Below are 20,973 nucleotides of genomic sequence, written 5' to 3'. Positions count from 1 at the left end.
AAGGAGGCAGAAATTATTTGTTTTGAGACAGAGTCTCGCTCTGTCGCCCAGGCTGGAGTGCAGTGGCACGATCTCAGCTCACTGCAACCTCCACCTCCCGGGTTCAAGTGATTCTCCTGCCTCAGCCTCCTGAGTAGCTGGGATTACAGGTGCGTGCCACCACGCCCGGATAATTTTTGTAGTTTTAGTAGAGACGGGGTTTCACCATGTTGGTCAGGATGCTGCTTTCGAACTCCTGACCTCGTGATCCGCCCACCTCAGCCTCCCAAAGTGCTGGGATTACAGGCATGAGCCACCACGCCCAGGCAGAACCTCTTTAAATAAAATCTGTTTAAACATTCCCACTGCCATAACCCTACCAGCCCTAACATGCGTATATTCTGTCGGTCTAACTAGGGCCCTCGTCAGGGCCTCCCCTGTGGATTTCAGTACCACAGTGTGTGGAGTTCTCATTTCAAGGAGACCCAGGAATTTCTCTTCACCACTCCCTGGCCATTTTACCCACTTGTGTGCCTAAGTGGGTCCCTAGCAGGGGTTGAGTCAAGGGACCCTTGCTTAGTTTTGTCAGTCTTTATCTTGATGAACTTGCGGAATTGCCCAGACAATTTCAGATCAGATTTCTCACTGTCATGTTTGCTTCTGACTTCTTAAATTTCTCCAAACTGGGGGAAATAACAGCAAACTTTAGTTTGCTAAACTAAAGTGATCTTAATTGAACAAAAACTGACATTGGTTGAATAACAAAAGACTTCTCGGGGTTTTTAATCATTAAAAAAAATGCCACCCTCCTTCAATATTTGTAGATGTCCAGCAATATCTACTGTGTCTCTGCTAGTATTTTCCATTTTTCATCTCTAGAAATTTCTGGAATCTGCTAGTACTCTCTGCAGTACGAGTCTAAAAGAACACAACATTGGCCAGGCACCATGGCTCATACCTGTAATCCCAGCACTTTGGGAGGCCGAGGCGGGTGGATCACGAGGTCAGGAGTTTGAGACTGGCCTGGCCAATATGGTGAAGCCCCATCTCTACCAAAAATATAAAAATTAGCTGGGTGTGGCTGCACGTGCCTGTAGTTCCAGCTGCTTGGGAGGCTGAGGCATGAGAATTGCTTGAATCTGGGAGGTGGAGGTTGCAGTGAGCTGAGATTGCACCACTACACTCCAGCCTGGGAAATAGAGCAAGACTCTGTCTCAAAAAAAAAAAAAAAAAAAAAAAAAAAGAACACAGCATTTAGAACCGCATTGAGATTCATCCACAGCCACAGGTGTTTAGATGTTGAGGATAGGAAGAGAAAGGCCTGTTCTGGTCTCCCTGTCTGTAGGCATTTGCTTCCTGACCACTGTGGTGGCATGGCAGCTGGGGCTCAGCCTGCGTCTCACCTACCTTCTGGCTTATCTCCCTGATACGCAGGGGCTGGAATGCTCAGCAACTTCACCAAACATTTTTGTACCTGAGCTTTTGTGTGTGAGTTGGAATTAGCCACTCAGTTATATTTGCGACAGATTTAGAAGGTAAGAGTGGGGTGGGGTCAGTGTCTGCAGTTTTTTGGCAAGTTCATGGATATCTATCTAGAAGGCATGAGGGCCTCTGTTTAGCTGGGTCATGTGATTTCTGGAGCCTGCAGCAGCCGTGGCTGTTTCTTGATTACAGAAGAGACAGCTGCTTCTTGGTGGCTTGCTTCTACTGAATGGGTTTGGGAATCATCCCTGAAAGCTCAACCTCAAGTTGGTTTTTTTAGCCTTCCCATCAGTTCTATCAGTCATTTTGCCTAATTAAGCCCAACTCATGTAAACTAGCTAGAGTGAATTCTGTTCTCTGCAACTGAGCCTGCACTGACCCAGCTATTCTATTAGGTCTCTATTTTGAATGTCTGCTATGAGTTCACATCGTACTGGACAAGAAGGGGCCATCAAAGAAGCACAATAATCACTTGCAATGTGCCACACCAAAGTTAATTCAATCCTCTCCACAGCCATATGAGCTAAGTACTATTATTATCATACGGAAGAGGAAACTGAGTTACAGATGGATTAAAAGACTTGCCTGAGGTCTCACTCAAACAGAAAGAGGCAAAGCCATCCTCGTCCCTACCCAGTGTGGCTCCAGGTCCTACAGTCTTTACTGCCACCCTTTATGACCCTCCCAGTTGGTCTAATAGTGCGATTATTTTGCACAGAATTAGCCCAAACACCATAAAGTTTGCAGTTATGAAGTGGTATCGGACGCTCTGATTATGAAACTAGTATTTGTTCAACTCAATTAGAGGGTTTATAAATCACATCTGAGAAACTTTCAAAGCTCTGACAGTCTCAAACAAGGGTCATCAGAGACCTCCCTCTGATTAGATTTCTCCTCATGGAGCATTCCCCAACACCACCCCTCATGAGAATGATCCTCATAAGCAGCCCATTTGCTCTTAGAAATGAGTTTCCCATGTTCTGCACTTGAAGCCTGGAATCGTAACCAAATAGTTGCTATTATAAAGATATTTTCAGTGTGTTTCTGCCCAGGGATGGGAATGTGCATCTTACACCCTGCCCAGTTTCTGCTTTCTTTGCAGGGGAGAGTAGTGGTGGAGCCGGGGGGCATGGCTTTTCTCCCCAGTCCTCCATGGAGACCATTTATCACTATTGGAAGAGTTGTATGTTTCTGTGGTTGCTTGGTCCTCAGTTTCGAGTTGCAACAGACACTCAGACTTCTGCAAAATTCTATTTATTTTCCACATGGAATGCAATTCAACCCTGATGGCTTCTATAGAGCTAAGTCATAGCCCTATTAATAATAGAATCCTTGGAGCCCACTGGCACCTGCAGCCTGGCCATCGAGGGAATTGAGAGCTCAGGTCTATGATGTCATTTCCATGTCTGAGCTCCTGCCCCGGACCCATGTCCTGCTCTATCCAGTACAAAAGGAAGCTATGCTAACTTGACAGAACTACAAAATGCCAAAACCATGCAAAAGAATGCAGCCCAGCCCGGGGTGTAGCGCTCATCTGCTAAATATGAGATCCTTTCCCGGAGTGAGGCCTCTAAAAACAAGGTCAGTGGGAAAGCCGAAGCTACCTTAGCCAGGGAGGGGCCGATGGCGCCGTGACAAACTCGCCAGCGGTTACCTCAGACAATGTAAATACAAACCTGGGGCTCATGTTTATTTAAAGTTATTGGCATCGGGCTCGTTCTTGGTAGACAAAGATTATCTTGTTTACAGCGGCATCCAGATGATGGACAAGACTCTGTATAATATAAATCCAGCTCTGCAGAGGGGGCCCATTAGCATAAACAACTTCCCTCAAGACAAACAAACCCTGCCAAGGCTCAAGCTGGAATTCATTTATTATACAGCTTCAAGTTGACTTGTCTCAACATTAAACAACTACAAAAGCAAAGGGATAAAACTGATGGCCGAGGGCACGCCTCGCCTCTCCTTTCACTTCTAGAGTGTTTTGCAGAAGGCGTTTCTTTCTGGCTTTGTTATGGAGTAGTGTCTCTGCAGATGCCGTTGCTCCTGTCATCTCCCCATGAGGTGTGGCCATGGGCCACGCATACGGACATAAGAGTCATGGCAGGGGGCAGGGACCACCCAGGAGTCACCATTGTCCTTGTGAAAGCCCTTGGCCTTGTGGATAGGCCTGGACTTAGGAACCTTAGTGGGGTTAAGCACATAGGGACAGATCCCAGGATTTCGGGGGAGATATGCAGAGCTCCGAGGGCACCAGCGCCTGGCTATGAGCTCTGCCAGTTTAGATTCAGACTTGCCTGGAATCAGAGGCCAGGCCTTCATGAGAATTGGTTCACACGAGGAACCGTGGGCCTCCTGAGAAGACTCACCTAAGGGCAGAGAGGATCTAGCCAACAAGCTAGACCCAGAGAAAGCAGTGACTCCAGGTCACGTCTCGTGACCACAGCAGCAGAGACTTCCAGTGGGAGAGTCGTGCCCAGGGAGGACGTGACGCCCAGAAAAAGGGGACAAGGACATGAGCAGGAAGAGTGCAGAGGCTGGCGGCCATCACAGCTGGGAGGTCCCCAGGGAATAAAGAGCTATTGTGGGGGTGCTTGGGGGGGGGCAGGACTGTGTTTCTTGGAGACCCAGTTTCTCTGAGGGCTTCTCTACCTTTGCTCTCTGTTTCTCCTCTAGATAAGGACCATGTCTTTTTTTTTTTAATTAGAGATGGGGCTTGCTATATTGCCCAGGCTGGTCTTGAACTCCTGGCCTCGAGTGATCCTCCTGCCTCAACCTCCCAAAGTGCTGGGATTACAGGTGTGAGCCACCATGCCCGGCCTGGACCACATCTTTATCTGGTGTCCCTGGCATCCTGCAGATAGTAGATTCGACACTGTGGAGTGACTCAGCACCAGCCCTGCCGCTTGCCTGTCCACTGTAGCCTGCTCTGTCTTGGCCACACCATCCTCTGTGCAGCCCTGGGGGACAGAGACCCTTCTCACTCCCTGTCTTCTGCAGCCAGAAGGAGTGGAGCTGGCCTTCAGAGTCTTCTCTTGGGTGTTTACAGGCAGCTGTGCCTCCTGTCTTTGGGAAAACCTCCCTGCAGGGTCAAGCCACCCCAAGAGGCCACCTTCACCACCTGTAATCTCTAGTCCCCACCACTCCCCCGTAAGTTGAGGCCTTAGGCACTGGAAGGTGTGTCTTTCTCCCCAAGCCAAGTCCCACTGCCACCCTGGCTACCCTGGCTGGCTTCACTGTCCAGGGGTCACGACTCTACTGACCCTCCCCCTCCCCAAACTTTGCCACACCTTGAGCCACATCCACCCAGAAACGTTCTCTCAAACAGGAAACTCCACTCTCTTCTCTACGCCTCAGCCCTCATCTTTACTTTCATGGGGACCTCCAGTGCTATGATTCCTCCATTTCCTCTGGCCCCATTCAATCTTTTCTTCTCAAGCCACTAATCACTCCACCACATGGCCCCTTGCACCTCTGGCTGGGGCTCGCCTGCCCAACCTTCACTTGGGACCCACCCCATGCTCCACATTCTTTGCCTTCACACTTAGGCAGTGCAGGAGTTATCCAGTGCTGCTAACGAATCACCCCAAAGCCATAACAGCTTAAGCCGACAAGCACATCATCTCATACCACATCTGTGGGCTCAGCTGGGAAGTTGTGGCTTGGGTCTCTCGTGAGGTTGCAGTGAAGATGTCAGCCAGGACCATGATCATCTGCGTGTGTTGGGGCTGGGGGAGCTGTCTCCAAGGTGGTTCATCTCCACGGCTGTGGGCAGGAGGCCTCTGTCCCTTCCCATGTGGGCTCTCCATATGGCTGCTTGAGCTTCCTTATGACATGGCTGCTGGCTTCCTCCAGAACAAGTTTGAGAAGGAGCTTTGTGACCTGGAATCAGAAGTCACACATTGTTACTGCTGCTACATTTTGTTCATTAAAAGCAAATCGTTAAGTCCAGCCCCCATTCGGTATGAGGGGAATTAGACTCCACCTTTTGAAAAGAGTAAGATCAAAGAATCTGCAGACACATTTTAAAACCACCACAGTTCACTTCATTCTTCTCCCACATGACAGCAGTCACCCTTCTTTCCTGCCCCTTGACTGTAGCCAGAGCTGCCTTGCGAAGCCTTCACTCGAACAAAGTCACCATCCACACCTCTGCTTCTGCCCCTGGGCAGGGCAGCTAAGCCCTGAGGGAGACCAATCCCAGATGGCCATGTGTTCATGCCAATGTGTGCTTTCTGGCCCCGCTGGGCTCCTTCTGCTTCTGGCCTTCTTCAGGCCCAGGTGACTCCTACTGCTGTTCCAAAAGCCTGCCTCTCTCCCAGTGCCCAGACACCACTCCCTGCCCTGCTCAGCGGCAATGTGCTTCCTCACATACGACTCTGCAGTGTAGACTGTCTTCCCACATACTTCGGGGGAAGAGGGGCTTCTCTCCTTTTATTCGGGCTTGATCATTCTACATCCTTCCAGCAATCATCACAGATTCCTCCCAGTCTTTCACCTTTCCACTGGCTCTGCCTTCCTGCCTCCCCTGCCTGATACAAACAAATGCAACTTTGCTCCAGGTATTTTTTTTAAAAAAGCTAAAACAAAATAATAATCCATCATTGGCCCAACATCCCTCCTCCACACAAGAACTTCACACCCGCCCTTCAGGGACGGTCTCCTGACTCTGCAGCAGAACTTCTAGAAAGAGTGGTCTGCTCTCTTCCCCACTTCCCACCACCACCCACCTACCCACGCATGCCAATCCAGCCTCTACCTTCCTGGCTTCCATGATACCAGCTGCTCTGCCCTTATTCCAGCCGTCAAGGGCCACCACATGGCCAAATCCATAGATACTAGATCACCTGTTCTTTGTGGCCCCTGCGCCACCCTGGACACCTGTTGATACCTCTTTCCTTTTGATACTTTCTCTCTCTCCATCTCTTCCCATCTCCTCTGGCTCCTCCTTCTCCCTGCCACCTCATTCCTCTGCTTCTTTCTAGAATGTTGTTGATCTCTCTGTGGGATCTCACCAAACTCATCCTTCATCCTTGCCCCAGCATTCCTCACCTGCTGTCCTGGCGCAGTCCTCGTTTAGGTGCTCAGAAGCTATTCCCTGGCCCTGCTCCCACTTGGACATCACTTGAACTTCTACCTCGACATGTGCCTGGCTCCATGCCCTCCCCGACTGTATTTCCTGCTTTGGTGGACAGCATCTCTCTCCACCTGGTTACTCAGGCCAGAACCTCAGGGCCTTCTATCTTCCCCCAGATATGACCAATCAGTTAATTTATCTTGGAAAATAAAACAAGACAATAATAACAAAAATAGGCAGAGGCCATACATGGGATTCACTGTTGCCTCTGTCACCCTCCTTCCTGCTGACTCAGGCAAGGCCCCCGGCCTCTCTGGGCTACTGTTTCCTCATCTGTTGGCTGGAGATCATACCACAGCTACCTCCTGGGGCTGCTGTGTTGATCACACAATCAATGTGTGCAGTTGACAATAGCAGCTCCGACTGCTTTTCCTCTCCACGCACAGGGACGGGCACTGCCAGGCCATGCTACCTAAGGGCTGGCCAGCTCCAGAAGTGTTTGTTGTTGGTCTGCAGTGAGGTAAGTGTAGAAGGTGAGAGTAAGCATTTTAAACTACTACAGAAATTTGGCAGGGTAACTTTATACCTTTTGAGTCTAATAATTAAAAAAAATGGGGCCGGGCGCAGTGGCTCACGCCTGTAATCCCAGCACTTTGGGAGGCCGAGGCGGGCGGATCACGAGGTCAGGAGATCGAGACCATCCCGGCTAAAACGGTGAAACCCCGTCTCTACTAAAAATACAAAAAATTAGCCGGGCGTAGTGGCGGGCGCCTGTAGTCCCAGCTACTTGGGAGGCTGAGGCAGGAGAATGGCGTGAACCCGGGAGGCGGAGCTTGCAGTGAGCCGAGATCCCGCCACTGCACTCCAGCCTGGGCGACAGAGTGAGACTCCGTCTCAAAAAAAAAAATAAATAAAAATAATAATAATAATAATAATAATTTAAAAAAATGGGGCTTCACCTCATACCCATTAGGATGGCTACTAGGAAAAAAACATCAACTAATCCTCTTATTGGAAAGGACGTGAGAAATTGGAACCCTTGTGCACTGTCAGTGGAAATGTAAAATGGTGCAGCCTCCGTGGAGAACAGTATAGTGATTCAAGAAATGAAAACTAGACTTCCCAGGTGATCCAGCAATTCCAGTTCTGGGTATGTGGCCAAGGCATGGCAAGCAGGCGCTTGAAGAGATATCAACACCCAAATTCAGAGCAGCACGAACACCCATGAGGTGGACAACCCAAGTGTCCATCAATGGATGAATGGAGAAACAAAATGTGGAATATTATGCAGCCTTAAAAAGGAAGGAATTTCCAAAATATGCTATGACATGGATGAACCTTGAGGACATTATGCTAAGTGTAACAGGCCAGACACAAAGGGACAAATTCTGTGTACTTCCAATTATATTACATACATAGAGTTGTCAGATTCATAGGGACAGAAAGTAGAAGGGTTGTTGCTGGGGGCTGGGGGCGGGAAATGGGGAGATGCTGTTAAATGGGTAGTTTTGGTTTTGCCAAAGGAAAGCGTTCTGGAGACTAGCAGCATGGCAGTGTGAGTGTGGGTATTACTGGAATGTGCACTTAAATATGTTTGGGATGGTAAATGTGTGTTATCTTACCCCAATTAAAACAAAAATTTTTGAAGAAAAATGGGACTTGTATTTTGTATGTCTTTTAAAATTGTGTTTGTCTGGTTATTTATTTTCCGAAAGTTTCAGTCTAAGAAGGATTAGAAGCAAAAGGAGTCCTTCACTGCACATCACAGATGCTTCCAGACTCACTGCCCTGGCTCAGCTTCTCCTGGGTTCCTCACTGGTTTGCTGCTCCACTCTCCCACCTCCTCAACCCATCTCCTAACCTCTGGCCACAGTGACCTTTCTAGAGCAAGCTTAACCTGTTGCCTATCTTGTCCAGTGTTCCTACATCCAGGAAGAAAGAGGTAACTGAGGTACAATGAGGTAACTGAGGTATGCAGACAGGTGAAGGGTGAAGATGATGAAAAGGAGTTTATTGAGTGTTAGAACAGCTTAGAGGAGACCCACAGTGGATAGCTCCCCTCTGTAGGCAGGCAGGTCATTCTGTCGAGTGTTCAGGTTTCAGCAGAGAGGAGTCCCTGGAGAGGGTAGCTCCTCTCTGTCTGGCAGGTTGCCCCACTCTCTCTGCAGATCTCTGAAGCTATCAGTGGAGAGGGTAGCTCCTCTCTTTGGCTGACCATTCTAACCTCTCCCTGCCATATTCTGTCTCTGGCCATCCTCTACCCTGGCTGAGCACCAGGCTTTCATGGCCCTCAGAGGAGAGGAAGTGCCTGCCAGTTGGTCCATGGGCAGCCAGGGGCGGGCTCGGAAGAGGCACCATGAATCTCCACTCTGGTCAGCGGGACTAGTGGCCCAGCCCCTAGCCTTCAGGCATTCCCTGGCCTGAAGAAGGGGCCTTACTGGGACCCGCCCCCTTCTGCTCAGGAATCTGTCTGCCTCCTGCTGCCATTCATGGCCCCAGGCTCAGCACCAATCCCACTTGGAGATCTGAGCAGGTGTTGGGAGAGGAGAGAGGACAGGCAGTGGGATTGGACAGGCAGTAGGATCAGACACCCCCGAGCCTGCAGGGATGGGGGGTGTGGTAGAGGAGATGGGGAGTCCTTCCCAGGCCCCCAAGGGTGCAGGCTACAGAGACGCCAAGGTCCTGTGCCTGGGAGGGCAATAGCAACTGTACCCAGGGAGCTCTCCCCTAGCCATCTCAGAAGGGGCAGGGCTCCTGCCTGCTCCATGGAGTGGGTGGCCCAGGTCTACAGCCATGGGTCAGGTGGTTGCAGCTTCATCCAGGAGGGCAGATCCTGCCTGCTCCTGGCTCCCTCCAAGAGCACAGAGAGGCTCGGGTCCACAGCCACAGTTTGGGTGGCTGTAGTCCCATCCAGGAGGGTGGGGCCCCTGTCCCCAGCTGCAGCTTGGGCAGCTGCAGCAGCACCCAGGGAATTCCCACCCAAACTCAGAAGGGGCAGGGCTCCCACCAGCTTCATGGAGTGTGCAGCCCCAGCCGTGCCTTCCTGCTGCAGCTGGCTCCCCACAAGCAGCCCGAGGCCTCTACATCTCACTTGCTGTCCTTTTGCTCATAATGCTCTTGCTTGTTTGTCAAAGACCGCCTCTCCCAGGAAGCTTTCCCTGAATGTCTAAGCACCACTATCACAGGTCATTCCACACCAGCCTCCTTTGCAAATTTAAGAAGCTGTAAAAGCAAGAGTTCAGGCACTCTGATGGGCATTGAGAAGGAAGCTTTAGGCAAGTGGGCTCCTTGGCTCTTCTCAAGGGATGCCTGGAAGGTCCTCCAGCCACTTGCAATGCGTTTGTGTCTTCCACCTACATTTACAGTTTCCTCCGACATCCACATTTACAAACCAGAGCAATACAGGTGTCCTTCAAAGCCTGCACAGGTGCTGGTGGCATCAGACAAGAGGGACCGAGGTGAACCCTCTGGGGAACGTCAGCCGGACCCCCCTCCTATCCCTACCCTGACTGCGTGCAGCACTGAGATGGGAGCACAGAGCCCTTGCCTTCATGCCTGAGAAGATGGATGTCCTTTCTTTCAGCCTGGGAGAATGGCGGCATCTGGGAGAATGGCCAGGTTTCTGATGGGTTTCCCAGTGACCGGAGAGCAGCGGGGCTCAGAGCTGGCAGCCACCCGGAGCACCTTGGCTGCTCACTCACATAAATCCTGGTGCAGACAACGGGCCCTTCTTTTGCAGTTGACGTCCCTGCACCAGGCAGGTGATGGTCTTCCTGGCCTTCTGAGCCCCGGTATGCTTCCCTCCATTCTGCAGTGAAATCACCACTGCCTTTGACCAGGCACAGCCCAGATTCTGCACTGGGCATCTGGATTTGAATCGAGTGTGGAACCCCCTAAATAAGTTGTTTCTCAAAAATCTGCCAGATGACAACTGCAGACAGAAAGGGGCATCTCCTTTTATTTCATGGATAGAAACAGAAGGGATAGTGTTCTTCCAAGACCCAGCTCTTCTTTCCTGGGCACCCAGATCCCAGCCTCCTGGGGGTAATGACTTTGGGTTTTACTTTTTGTTTTGTATACAGCAAAAAACCTCTGTTATACATAGACTCAATGTAGAATTTAAGATTCATTTATGGCCAGACGTGGTGGTTCACACGTGTTATCCCAGCACTTTGGGAGGCCAAGGCAGGCGGATCACCTGAGGTCAGGAGTCCGAGACCAGCCTGGTCAATATGGTGAAAACCTGTCTCCACTGAAAATGCAAAAAATTTAGCCAGGCATGGTGGCGCGTGCCTGTCATCTCAGCTACTGGGAGGCTGAAGCATGAGAATCACTTGAACCCGAGAGTCGGAGGTTGCAGTGAGCTGAGACCACACCATTGCACTCCAGCCTGGGCAACAAGAATAAAACTCCGTCTCAAAAAAAAAAACAACCCAGAATCATTTATGGTTTCCTGCAATCCTCTCAGGTATAATATGTCAGATTCAAACTGGAAACAATGACTGGGCCTAAATCCTAATGGAAAATTTCTTGTGGTTCATATTTTTGACTGGTGACTGGCAGGTTTACACAAACAAATGAATATTATAATTTGGTAGATAAGCAAATACATTACATTTATAGGATTTAAGCACTTTCCATGAAAGCTTTGATTGCTCCAAGGAGATACCACTGGTACAGGCTGCTAAATCACCGACACACGAGCCTGGACGCCTGGGTTTGAGATTAAACGAGTCTGGGCCATGCCTCTGTGGGGGTTCCTGCTCCAATGGGGAAATAGAAAATGCTTGATAAGTAGAAAGAGTCATCGTTGACATTTTTAAGCCAGCTGGGAGCCTTGAGAATTTGAGATTTGACCTACAAACAAGGGAATGGACCTTCACAGACCATGAGGTGCTAGGTGGGGTTTGTAGAGGACAATGGCATGTCAGAGATGACCAGCATTGCGTTCTAGGCCCACATAAGCCCTCTCCAGCTCTGCCAGCTCCGGGCTCCTGGTGAGGCAGCAACTGGTTCTCAGTTGCCGCAGGTGTGAGGGGTGGCTTCGAGTTTTTGTGGCTCTGGAGTGTGACATTCCTGATAGATGAAAGGGCTCCTGGAGGACACCCACCAAAGCGGAGGCTGTGTCTGAATGAACACCCAAGAAGCAGGTGCGCCAGGGAGGTGTGTGGTGGGAGGCAAACTCTGGATCGAGGCAAAGGTAAAAGAGCCAGCTATGGCCCTCCAGCCAATTCATGCCGAGTTCCTAAGAGATGCTCTTTGAGGATCTGTCACTGACACAGACGGTGAGGCGCAAGGAGGCTGCGGAAGAGGATGCGGAGGAAGGCGCTGAGGGTGGTTTCCATTTGTAGAGCTGATTCTGCCTGGCCTAGCGGCAGCTGCCCAACATGAGTGGAGCTGCTCGTTCCTGGGGGTTTCCAGTGGAAGGCATGGGAGTGGCTTTTCAGATCTGGGGTCCCTGGCCTTTCCCTGATGAAGGGAGGTGTGTGGGGTGCTGGCTTTGGGGCTCAGGGTGAGTGTGGAAGGTTCCGGTGTGGAAGGTGAGGTGGCGGGGCCGGGGATACCCAGCCACAGCCTGGAAGCTTTGAGGAAGGGAGATGTGGAAGTAGCCCCCGCTCTCTGCTGATGGGCTTAGAGACTGACCCATGCTATGCCAGTGACTCATGACGTGCCACCCACAGGTTGAGGGCTTGTGATTTAAATTGTTCTACTTTTCTTGACTGCAATGTTGTCCAAAGTCAGTGGGATCTAAATTTTTTAAAGAAGGGGTGGGAATGTCTGTTTGCTGTTTACACGGACTCAGGACGGCCACTCAGGATGTGCCCAGCAAGCAGGAGGGCTTCCAGACCAGGCCTGTGGCGGTAGGGTCAAGTCTGCAGTGCCCAGGGTCAAGCTTGTGTTCCTGGGAAGCTGAACTAGGCAGTGGGTCCCCAGGGATGGTGGGAAGTGACGAGGGCTCAGGGATCTGCCCACTTACTCTTTATTTGCAAACAGTATGTAAACACACATGCAAGCTGTCACTGCCCTCAGGGCGCTGGCATGCTGCCACCCCAGCCCCTGGATCCTGGTGCTTGGGCGCCTTGGCTTTATAGCATTTGGAAAGCAACTTGACTGGAGCAGGCTGTGGACTTTGCTGATGCCGGGAAATTATTTTCTCTTGGATGGAAGCCCTACTTTGCTTGTTGGGAAAGGGACAGAGTTTGTTCTGGCTGAGCACCAGTGGCAGATACATCATGTTGGTTATTTTGGAGGCCTCAAGGCCCCTAGCACAGACCTGTGGGTGCCCTTGGTATACAAGGAACAATTCGGACTGTGGCTGAAGTGTCACCTCCTTAGGGAGACCTTCCCTGACCACTGTTCCTTAAAAAACAACCCCCAAGCCCAAAGAAACAAAACAAAACAACCCACCCTGGTCCATTGTATTCACACCACTTCACCCTGTCTGGAAATATTTCTGTTTCCTGAATGATCTCTCTCCATTAGACACTGGGCTCCTTGAGCACAGCACCTTGCTTGCACAGACACTGCTCTATCTCAACACTGAAAACAGTGCACGAAACACAGCAGGTGCTTTGGAAATTGTGACATGAATGCAGTGCTTTAAAATGTGTCCGGGACTTGTTTTAATCAGGTATGGGAAGACACGAGGACACTGAGATGACTATCCTGAAGGAAGATGCTTTTATACTCACAGACCCCTGGAAGCAGGGGGCGCGACAAGCACCAGGGCCTGTCCGGAGGCACCAGGGAGGGGAAAGCCTGGGCAAAGGCTTCACTGCGGTTTGGTTTCCCCGGAAGGAATGAAGGCTCAGAAGGTTTAGGATCGGATGGCTTGAATACATGAGGTGTGCCCTGGGCTGTCCTGTGGGCCCCAGTTGTCCTGGTTTGTCCGGAGTTTGTTCCTTCCGGTGGGTTCGTGGCGTCGCTGGAGCCACGTACCTTCGCGGTGAGTGTTACAGCTTTTTTTTTTTTTTTTTTTGAGATGGAGTCTCGCTTTGTCGCCCAGGCTGGAGTGCAGTGGCGCAATCTCGGCTCACTGCAAGCTCCGCCTCCCGGGCTCACACCATCCTCCTGCCTTGGCCTCCCCAGTAGCTGGGACTACAGGTGCCCGCCACCACGCCCGGCTAATTTTTTTGTATTTTTTTTTAGTAGAGACGGGGTTTCACCGTGTTAGCCAGGATAGTCTAGATCGCCTGACATCGTGATCCGCCTGCTTTGGCCTCCCAAAGTGCTGGGATTACAGGCGTGAGAGTACTACAGCTCTTAAAGATGGCACGGACCCAAAGAGTGAGCAACACCAAGATTTATTGTGAAGAGTGAAAGAACAAAGCTTCCACAGCATGGAAGGGAACCCGAGCGTGTTGCCGCTGCTGGCTGGGTGGGTGGGGTGGCCAGCTTTTATTGCCTTATTTGTCCCCGCCTATGTCCTGCTGATTGGTCCATTTTACAGAGTGCTGATTGGCCCATTTTACAGGGTGCTGACTGATCCATTTTACAGGGTGCTGATTGGTCCATTTTACAAACCTCTAGCTAGCCACGGAGCGATGACTGGTGCGTTTTACAATCCTAACTACAGAGTGCTGACTGGGGCATTTTACAATCCTCTTGTAAGACAGAAAAGTTCTCCAAGTCCCCACTCGACCCAGGAGGTCCAGCTGGCTTCACCTCTCACTGGGATTGGGGCAGAGGAAGGCTGCCTCCTGGAAGTGTAAAAGCTAAATAGAGGAGGTGGCTGGTGTCCGGGCTCTGGACTGGTCAGCTTGCAAAGCAAAGGCACGCCCAACAGCGAGTCGTTTGCTCTCTGGAGGACTCAGCTAACCCTGGGAGGGGCAGTTCCTTCCTAAGACCACAAGGCCCCAAGGATGAAGCAGCATAAAATCAGTAGAAAACAAACAAACAAACAAAAAACCCATGATCAATACAGAATGACTGTTTGACATGTGTGGCAATGTAAAGATTGTGCGTGCAGATGTTTAGATAAATATGAGAACCAAACAGACGTGAAGTAAGCTAAGACGACTTGGTGTATCATTCAATTTCTATTGGTCCTGAAATCAACACGTTTCCTTTGCGTGGTTTTGCAAAAGGAATCCCTCAGTGGGGAAACAATCTTTTCTGATACCCACCTCCGAAACTTTTTGTTGGAGTACAACATACATTCAGAAAATCACATCTATCCTAAGGTTAGAGCTCATGAATGTTCACAAACTGGACACATCCAGGAAACCAGCACGCAGACCAAGAACAGTGTGGTAAGGGCAGCTGGAAGCCTTCTTGTATTCCCTCCTTTTCACCTGTATCCTAACGTCTTATCCTAACTAACTTATCCTAACTGTACCATCCTAATTTTTTTTTTGTTTTTTTTTTTTTTTTTTTTGAGACGGAGTCTTGCTCTGTCACCCAGGCTGGAGTGCAGTGGCGCGATCTCAGCTCACTGCAACCTCCGCCTCCTGGGTTCAAGCAATTCTCCTACCTTAGCCTCCCGAGTAGCTGGGATTACAGTCACGTGCCACCACGCCCGGCTAATTTTTTGTATTTTTAGTAGAGACGGGGTTTCACCATGTTAGCCAGGATGGTCTCGATCTCCTGACCTTGTGATCCGCCCACCTTGACCTCCCAAAGTGCTGGGATTACAGGCCTGAGCCACCGCGCCCAGTCCCCCATCCTAACTTCTAACAACATAGGTTAGTTTTGCTGGCTTTTCCCTTCTTATGAATGAATTCAAATTGTGTCTAGCTCATTGTGTTCAAATTGTATTTGGAAATTCACCCACATTATTGCCTAAGGTTGAAGATAGTTTATTTTTGTTGCTGTGCAGTATGTGTGAATATATCACACAATGTATATGACGTATACTTATCCATTCCAATGCTAAGGTGAACGTGGGAAATTTCTAGTTTGGAATGGTAATCCCTTCACTGACTTTTTGCCTGCTGGTCTGTGTCAGTCTTTTAGTTGCAAGAAACAGAACTTCCTCTGGACAACCTGACTCAGAAAGATGGGTTTGCCAGAACCATTCTGCCTAGCTCATAGAATAGAAGGAAAAGGGGAACAGCCAGGCTTTATTAGGGACGCCCTTACTAGGGGACCCTGGTGGCAAGAACTCGAGGACAACCTCTCTGAGACAGAAGGGCAAGTGGCTCGACTTGCCTAGAGCAGGGTTCCTACCTCTGTTGCGTGGGACCCTAGTGGTCCCCAGGAATTTTAGAGTGTGCCATGGAGGAAAACAAGACCTGTGGCTCATTCAGTTGGAAAAGTGGTTTAAAAAGGTTACACTTCTCAGGACCTTTCACAGGAGAGGGCACACTCTAATCTCAAGGAAGGGATATTCCTGAACTTGGCTTTTCTCATGGGGCATCTACTCATATCTGAAGGGCACTCGTGCTCCAAGAAACACAGCTTGGGAAAATGCTAAGCCAAAGCCAAGTGAACAGAGGGGAGAAGTGGAAAATACGTTTTGGCCTGCATTTTTAATGCACAGATAGGGACTTTTTTTTTTTTCTGGAAAATAGGAAACTCTGAAAACAGATGCTCAGTGTGTGACCCTTCAGGAAGCGCCGTCTGGCAAGTGTGAGAGTTACAGTTTGCAGGGTGCCCTCGGGTCCACTGTCGCATCCGTTCCCAGGGCTGGGTGGTATGGGTGGGATGCCCAGATGACGGAACTGGCCGCCGATGTCACGCGCTCCTAGAAAGCGGAGAATCCAGGGCAGAGTTAGAGTCAGACCTAGGCTCTCGCAGAGAACTGCATCGCGCTCCCAGCTCTGCTGCCTCGGTGCGGGGACGGGGCTCTGCATGAGGACTGGGAATGTAAGTCCCGGGCCTGGACAGGCGCCCCTGGGAGCTAGCCTGGAGGAGATTCAGTAGAAGGCTGAGGAGTCGGCTTGGAGGGTCTCGGCAAGGCGGCGCGGATGGAGATGAAGCTGCGAAGAATGCTGAGAAAGAGCGGCCGGGGGCCTTGGAGGGAAGCTAGGGAAACGCTGCGGGGGCAGCCGAGGCCGTCGGCGCCCCGGGAGAAGGTGCATGTGGAGTGGCGCCGGGGGGACGGGTGGGCGCTGGGCGGCGGCGGCGCCGGCCTGGAGGTGCGGCCTGGGCTCCTTCCGGACCCGCCCGGCCGGCGCAGGGGCTGCAGCCTCCACGCGGGGGCCTTCGGTTCCGCCTCAACTTTCCAACCGGGCCGCCTTCTCCCAGGGCGGGTGACTGAGCCGGGCACACGCAGCCTCTCCCGCGCCGGGCTGCCCCGGCCAGGGTCTTTCCTCCCTCGCCCAGTCGCTGCCCTCTCCTTTCCCGCAGCCCGCGGGGCCTGGGCTCTCCCTGCCAGCTCCTCCTGTGTCCACTTCAGCCTTCCCGGTTCCCCAGGCAGCCTGTCCTGCCGGTCACTCCGTCTCCCACCTGCTTTGCCGGGAACTAGAGCACACACCACACAGGAGGCGGGAGGGGGGCGCAAGAGGTGGGTGTTGGAGGCGGGGGTGTGGTGTGGCTGTGGTGTGATGTGTGGTGTGTGGTGTGTGTGTGTGTGGTGTGGTGCATGTGGGGTGTGTGTAGTGTGTTGTGTGTGGTGTGTGTGGTGTGTGTAGTGTGTGGGGTGGTGGGTATGTGTGTGGGGTATGTGGTGTGTGTGGTGTGTGTAGTGTGTGGGGTGGTGGGTATGTGTGTGGGGTATGTGGTGTGTGTAGTGTGTGTGTGTAGTGTGGTGTGTGTGTGGTGTGTTTGTGCGGTGTGGTGTGTTTGGTGTAGTGTGTTGTATGTGTGGGGTGTGTGCGTGTGGTGTGTTTGGTGTAGTGTGTGTTGTGGTATGTGTGGTGTGTGGGGTCTGTGTGGTGTGTTTGTGTGGTGTGGGGCGTGTTTGGTGCGTGTGGTGAGTTTGGTGTGTGTTGTGGTATGTGTGTGGGGTGTGTGTGGTGTTTGTGTGTGGTGTGTTTGTAGTGTGTGTGGGCTGTGTGTGTGGTGTGGTGTGTTTGGTGTGTGGGGTGTGTGTGGCGTTTGTGTGTAGTGTGGTGTGTGTGGTGTGCTGTGTGTGGTGTGTTTGTGTGTGGTGTGTTTGTGTGTGTGGTGTGTATAGTGTGGTGTGTGTAGTGTGTTTGTGTGTGTGGTGCGGTGTGTATGCGGTGGGCGTGTGCAGAAACAACAAGCCCCTGCTCCGCATGGGGTGTGGAGCAGATGCTGCGGAAGCCGCCTGGCCTGTGGGCGTTGGCAGTGGGGACCAGCTGACCCAGAGACTCCGCGCTTCCCCGCGCTTCCCCCACCCCCGCCCCACTGCGGCGCTCCGGGGCTCACTGAGTTCCGAATCCACCTCCTGGGATCCGCGCCCTGGCTACCAGGCCCTGAGCCTTCTGCGGGCCAGCGAGCTCCCGCCAGGTTCTGCCAACAGGGGGCCCCAGAGGGCGGCGTGGTGGCCGCAGATCGCAGGACAGGAGCCTGTTCCCGTCAGCAGAGCCCCAATAACCCCCCGGACTCCCAACGGTGGCGCGGTCATGCCCAGTTTTCTAGCTTGCTTCATGCACTCCCAGGACCTGCCTGCCCACATCCCGCCCGGGCCGGCTGGTCCATCTCGGAGATTTGAGTCCAGCTCTCTGGGAGGCCCCAGGGCCAGGCAAGTGCAGAGGTCCGGTTCCACTCCCCAGGGCCCCTTCTCCAGCTTCCAGGACCTCGGTTCTCAGAACCCTCATGACTTCTCTTTGCTCTTTAGAGACCTTCACTGCTTCTATCAGTCACCATATCTGAATCTTGGCTTGCCACTCAATCCTCCAATATCGACCAACAACAGGAGATTCTCTCTATCTGAGGGGGGAGGTGTGTTTCCCTGACTAGACTCTAAATACAAATCCTCCACTTCTCCATCTGTCTCTCCAGTGATCTCAGAGGCATGGTCTTAACACCGCGCACAGTTCCTTGCAAGTTGAAGAGTAGACCCAAATGATCAGTTCTAAAATTCTATTCTTATTGAAGATTACTGGTGGAAATATCAATGCAAACAAAATGAAAAAGTTCAACAATGATTAATACTGCATTTCAACAGAAGAATCAAATCATCTTGACAAAACTTCAATGGGCAAAATTTGCCTTGGGGAATTTTATGCAGGGGAATCCTTGGGTCTGATGTGTGGTGGGCTTTGGATGTGTTGTGTAGCTCAGTGTCCCTTCCTGCTACTCCTAGTCATCTCCAGAAACTCAGACCACCCATCTACTAAAGGCAGGTGGATGAGCAAGGGGGCCTCGGAGGCATTCCGGATCACACTGAACCTGAGCCCCACCGCCTGACCCACTCAGTGTCACTGTTAACAGAAACTCGCTGCCATCTGGCCTCAGGCCTGCCTCCTTCCTATAGAACTTGACACTGGAAGCACCAGGCGAGCTGGACCTTCTGCTGCTACTGCACTCCCATGATGCAGCCTGAGAATGAAGCCCACCAGAGTGACAGAGAGCAGACCTGAGTGGTGAGCTGGTGACACAGGGTGTGGGTGGTGTCCCTTGAGCTTCGACACCACGCCACACCTGAAACCAGCCTGACATCCATGATTTTGCTTTTTTGCTTAAACCAGTCTGCGTCATTTTCAACAAAAGAGTTCTACTAGATATGACAAATTTCTCTAGAAGACCTAAGAAGTGAAAGACTTGAAGCTATTCCAGTGGTTCAGGAACTAGGACACTGGTAGGAAACTGGAAAGAAGGCATCAGAGTTAAGGAAATATTTATGAGGTCAACTCTGGAAGTCTTGGTTACTGAGTGAATACAGTGGCTGAGAGGAATGGAAGCATCCAACCAAATAAAAAAAGATGGTGCTGAGATTTGGGTTATGAGGTCAATGACTGAAGCAATGCGATTAACTGAGTTAGGAGTCTCAAATATAGGATGAGTGCAGAGTTGAGGATGAAGAATTCTGCTTTGGACACAATGAGTGTGAGGTGCCCAAGGATAACCCAACGGGAAGCAGTCACACCAAAGCAACAGGGTGTGCACCTGAAACTCAGAAGGGTGATTGGGCTATGGTGAAGATTCCTGATCACCCATAAATGAATTCATTAAAAGCATGAGAGTGAGTGGAGGGGCCCCTAGAATATGGTGGGTGCATGAGACTAACCCTAGATTGGGGATAGCTCCCTGGGAAATCCAAGGGACAAGGTGAGGAGGAGGAGGCGGAGCCCACCAAGGAAACTAGAAAGAGACCGCTGGAGAGGTCCGAGGACAGCAAGGAGCACAGCCTTCAAGTCTGGGAGCCAACTATCCAAGAAGAGAGTGGTTTGCTATGGATGCCGTGGGCCACCACGTCCCATCTAGGAAAGCAAGTTGAGGTCTCTCTTGAATACATTGGGATTGATTACCCAGACTTTAAAGAATCTATGTCCCCTACTTCCCTTCATTCACTCTGCTCTTTACCTTCTCCTCTTCCCTGGTCACCAGCACCTCTGCTAAAGGGTGGAGAAAGGAACTTCTGATCAGTTACAGAAAAGCTTTGGGGTTACGTGGTGCAAGCTGCTCTGCCTCTGTTTGTGAAGAAATTAGACTATGGCCAGCCATGTGAGTGGCATCACTTTGGTTTCTGGAGCAATAGTTAGTAGCAACTTTTAGAGGTGGTCATTTCGGTTCCCTTCTGGAAAGTGATTCGTGTTTAAGAAAAATAGATGCAACGTTGCTAAGTACACCTAACATTTAAACAGTCTCCAGCAGATAAATGCTGATACTGACACTTCTCACCAGAAAAAGAGAAATACCCATCATGAGGAAGAGAAATGACTTTTGTTCAGTTATGCTCCCGGGTCCCCTTTCACTGGAGGGATATCTCAGCTTTCTGAGCCCCTGGTTACTGCAATCCTCGGTTCCAGAACCCAGCAATTCCTATCATCACAATTGTTTCAAGTCTTATCCAAGCCCTGTATATTTCAGATCATCCTTAATTTCTTGTTCTGTACCCAGAGGAGATCAGGAAAACCTTTAAGTCTCTATGTGAGGCAAATACATCCTCCTCACTGCCCCAGCCCCATGTGATTGATGAAGCAACTGAGGAAGAGAAGTAGGGTGCTTCTGGCACTGGAGGAGCGCAGTGCTGAGAAACTCCGGGCTCCATTCGGAAATAGCACTGATTTCTTAGTGTACTTTTTTTTGGTGTTAATATAGAAAACATCAAAAACACAGTTAAAAGAATGAAGCATGTCTACATACGTGTGGCCAGAAAGACTGACCAGAAGCTGGTAGCAGTGAGGGATGACAGTGCTTGCCCCTGGGTTGAATAGTGGAAGAGTTAGGGGGGAAACAGTCTGCTCTTTGAGACCCTTTCAATTTCATGTGATGGATTTACAGAGACAGATGAATTAAACATTATATAAAAAAGGAATAAAACCACTGGTAGGATCTGTATTCCAGGAAGAAAAAAGCATATTACATAATAGGTCAATGCACAGAAATAAAAAAAGGAATTTAACTAGAGCCTATGCTAATCA

The 20,973-nt window shown here is 50.8% G+C and overlaps 1 protein-coding gene and 1 long non-coding RNA gene across 4 annotated transcripts in view, besides 2 other annotated features; one reads left to right on the top strand and one right to left on the bottom strand.

The window, feature by feature from the left end:
* The window catches only part of ERCC6L2 (ERCC excision repair 6 like 2), a 165,402-nt gene continuing 147,555 nt past the window's right edge, over positions 3,127-20,973 (bottom strand). For 2 of the 3 annotated variants that reach the window (NM_001375291.1, XM_047423357.1), the window contains one exon: positions 3,127-5,343. In NM_001375291.1, the coding sequence (NP_001362220.1) occupies positions 5,289-5,343 (55 nt within the window). In that variant the 3' untranslated portion in view covers positions 3,127-5,288. Of the gene's footprint in view, positions 5,344-15,989; positions 16,224-20,973 lie in introns of those variants that run through there. The other variant, NM_001375292.1, reaches the window with a different exon arrangement.
* On the top strand, positions 16,253-20,959 carry LOC105376159 (uncharacterized). Its single transcript, NR_188619.1, has 2 exons — positions 16,253-16,554; positions 18,225-20,959. It is a non-coding gene; the product is annotated as an uncharacterized LOC105376159 (long non-coding RNA).
* Positions 17,433-17,956: an enhancer, noted in NCBI's record as "H3K4me1 hESC enhancer chr9:98788545-98789068 (GRCh37/hg19 assembly coordinates)". NCBI's record gives its function as "activates a minimal SCP1, AML or CMV promoter by ChIP-STARR-seq in naive H9 embryonic stem cells {active_cell/tissue: H9 hESC(naive)}" and the evidence as "EXISTENCE:reporter gene assay evidence [ECO:0000049][PMID:30033119]".
* Positions 17,955-18,014: an enhancer, noted in NCBI's record as "active region_28649". NCBI's record gives its function as "activates an Ori minimal core promoter by ATAC-STARR-seq in GM12878 lymphoblastoid cells {active_cell/tissue: GM12878}" and the evidence as "EXISTENCE:reporter gene assay evidence [ECO:0000049][PMID:35858748]".

The sequence above is a fragment of the Homo sapiens genome, chromosome 9, assembly GCF_000001405.40.
Source record: "Homo sapiens chromosome 9, GRCh38.p14 Primary Assembly".
NCBI classification, from domain to species: domain Eukaryota; kingdom Metazoa; phylum Chordata; class Mammalia; order Primates; family Hominidae; genus Homo; species Homo sapiens.
This window is presented reverse-complemented; position numbering and strand designations above follow the sequence as displayed.